We start from the raw sequence: 3314 nt of genomic DNA on the forward strand, positions 1-3314 counted from the left end.
TGATGAGAAAGACCAGAAATATAACTGGCTGAATGTCAATTTTAAAACTAGAAAGATAGCTGCTACTTTATCTCACCGAGCAGGTGTTTCTGAGCAGTAAATAACTCACGGATGGTCTATTAAACTTTAATGCTTGTGATAACAGCAAAGAGCATGTTGCCGCCCTCCTAAAAATACATATATATATATATATATATATATATATATATATAAAAACAAACAGCAATTTTCAACATTTATGCTTTGCACCATTTGCTTTTCACAGTTGTTTTACTGCATTATCTTTTGCTATTATCTTGGCCACAAGTCCCTTCTGTATGAAGTTGATTTGCAATCGTGGGCAGAACAACCTAATGTAATTAACTATCTGGCAAGTGTACAATGATCATTTCCACCTAAAAAAGATTCTCTCCTTGAATGAACACTCTCCAAATAAGGCACTGATTTCACTGCGTGTAAAACAGGGGATGAAATTTTAATTTAAAAAAAATTTTTTTTGGGTTGGAGGCTGGATGGGGGAGGCATGATTTCTCTGCTTTTTTTCATTTAGTTTAAACTCATCATCTTTGTGAGGTTTTTTATTGAAATAGTAATTACGGTACTTCAAAGTGACTTTTAAAAAATATCCAGAAGAGAAAAATGAAGCAACGTAATTGGAAAAAGGGTAGACATGAAGAGATGTGCAATTGGAATCAGCCAGATGAGAGTTATTACCTAATAATGAGGCTTTGCACTCCTATTACACTGCCTTTTGTATCTGAGCCTTTAAAAACCATGAGCTAATGAAGCTCTCTGCCTCCCCTGTGACTGAGGTCGTTGTTGTCACTGTCTGATGAATGGAGAAAATAAGGCACCAGGAACAGGTGAACTTGGCTTTTCTTCAGTTCAAGCCATTTATTAATGCCATGGTTTGGAATAAAATTCAGAAACCTCCACCCCAGGTTCTCCTGCTTATTTGTTTCCTTTTTCTAGAATGCCAAGGGTTCTTATTCCTTGCCCTGCACTATGAGGTCCCAAGGTGCAGAGCAAGTGCCACACAGCAGTGATAGGAGCTGTATTTACCAGCCCGTATCCAATGAGGCTCAATGGACCTAGCAGTCAGGGCCCAATCCTCTTATGGAAATGGGAAGGAGCAAAGGAGAGGGACAAAGCCACGTGTAAAAGCCAATTGTTTAATATTCAGGAGTTTGCCAGCCAGTTGTTAAACCCATGGTAGCTTGAAATCAGTCATAGTAGGAGTGTTTACACCACAGGTATCATCAGACACTACAAATCAGGGCTCCCCAATCACAAAGCACAGTCACCAGCATCCCACCGAGAGTGAGTAAAGAGAGCTGAGTGTTCCAGGGTGTCACATGAGTCCTCTAAAATGGTTTTGTATCCTTCATGAAAAGCAGTGTTTTGTAATCATTGAGCAGGTGATAATGAAATAGAGGGAGAGAGAAATGCCCTGGGAGTTTAGAAAGCTTTGGTTTATGCTGCAAGGGCCACTTAAATCTGAGGTTTGGACTACAATTAGGTGATTGTGGGAAAGTTGGTCATTGAAACCAAGAAGTGAGTCTTTCCTTTCCCTGGGTGTTTGGCCTTGTTTCTAGGTCCTCTTCTGTCTCCATTTAGTTCCCATTATTCAATCAGTAATTCATTCAGCAAGGTAGTGTTCATTTCTCCCTGAATAAGTACTTTTAAGTGGGAGGGCTGGGAGAAGAGGCCAAAATAATAAGCTAACACTTAATCTAACACTTTGCACAGACAATTTCTTATGCCCTTATGATTATTAACCTATTTAATCCTCAAACAACCTAATTAGGTGAATATTATTATTATCCTTATTTTATAGATAAGGAAACTTAGGCTCAGAAAGATTAATGTAATGTATCCCTAGGCTGGCAGTGCCTGGACAGGGCTTGTCTAATTAATATTTAAGCAATAACCTTCACATAGGCATCAGCCTGCTAACGAAGGCTATTCTGACATCTCCGTCAGATTCTGTAGAAGAGGAACACTGAATTAGAGTTCTGAAGACCTGTGTTCTAGTATTTTTTTTTTCTTTTTGCTACTTCCTTTTGCTCCTACAGACTGACTGTGTTTTCTCATGCAAATGAAGATAATATCTGCTTTGTTTTCTTTATATGTTTTGGTGAGACCTGAAGAGACATGTGTGGAAAGGCATTTTGGTTAATGGTGAATTGTTTTGCAAATATAAAATCAACCCTATTTTCTTTCTACTTGAATCATGCCTGCATCCCTTTTCTCTTACCCTCCCCTTTTCCCAATGGTCTCCATCAATCTAAGAGATTAATTTCTATTCCAAAGAAGGTGATCTTTTAAGTCATTTCCTTAAAACTTGCTGAGATCCTTGAACTGACATGCTGTATTTTGTAGAAATGCTGACTTGTCATACTGATGTCCATATTTATGCCTAATTTTTGGGAGAGGTCTCAGATCCTCAGAGCAAATACTGACTCATTACTTCTGCAGCTGTTTGGTTAGTGCACTCATACATGTGCACCCATGCACACATGCACATACACGCAGTGCCTTCATTTAAACTGATATGGGAAACGAGGGGATAGACATGACCAGCCATATGGAGAGTGACTCATGCGGCACTGATGGGAAAACTGCAAGTCATCACCTCCTCTGCTGCGCTGAGCTTGCCGCAGAGAGCAAGGTCACCTCAGCACATTCCATTGGTATCTACTGTGGCCCTGTCTCCCTCATTTCCTTTCTCTCCACCCACACACCCCTGCCTCCCTCTGCAGAGCATCATAGACCTTATCCCTCATCTCTCCAACCTGCTTCCAAAGTCTAAGCATCCACTTGTCCCTGAAGGAGAGCCAGGTTTCCACACTATGCTGCCTGACCTGCCACTGTGGCCATTACCAGACCTCTCTACAGGAAATGTGCCCCTCCCCACACCCAGGGCAGGCTGAGTCAGCAGGGGAAGGATGGCTGGAGTGGCAGAATCAGGTTCAGCAAGCACAACAGGCTTAGACCAGTGACAGCCTCACCTGGGCTCTTGGCTGTTGAGTTGTAGCCTTGGCTCTGCCTCTGATTTGACAAGTGATATAGGCTTAAAGAAGCTATGCCCAAAAGATACTCTTTCCAAGTCTGCTGCAAAGAGGGACATGTTGATTAAGTTAACATTTCCCCAGCACTCACTAAGTGCCAGGCACTCTTCTAGATAATTTACAAGCCCTTATTTAATCTTCCCATCAACCCATAAGGTAACTACTCTTATGACTCCCATTTTACAGAGGAGAAAGCTGAAAAGCAGATAGGATAAGAAACTTGTTCAAGGTCACAGCTTTAGT

The 3314-nt window shown here is 41.2% G+C and overlaps 1 annotated feature.

The window, feature by feature from the left end:
- Positions 2406–2906: an enhancer, noted in NCBI's record as "H3K27ac hESC enhancer chr11:130902936-130903436 (GRCh37/hg19 assembly coordinates)". NCBI's record gives its function as "activates a minimal SCP1, AML or CMV promoter by ChIP-STARR-seq in primed H9 embryonic stem cells {active_cell/tissue: H9 hESC(primed)}" and the evidence as "EXISTENCE:reporter gene assay evidence [ECO:0000049][PMID:30033119]".

The sequence above is a fragment of the Homo sapiens genome, chromosome 11, assembly GCF_000001405.40.
Source record: "Homo sapiens chromosome 11, GRCh38.p14 Primary Assembly".
NCBI classification, from domain to species: domain Eukaryota; kingdom Metazoa; phylum Chordata; class Mammalia; order Primates; family Hominidae; genus Homo; species Homo sapiens.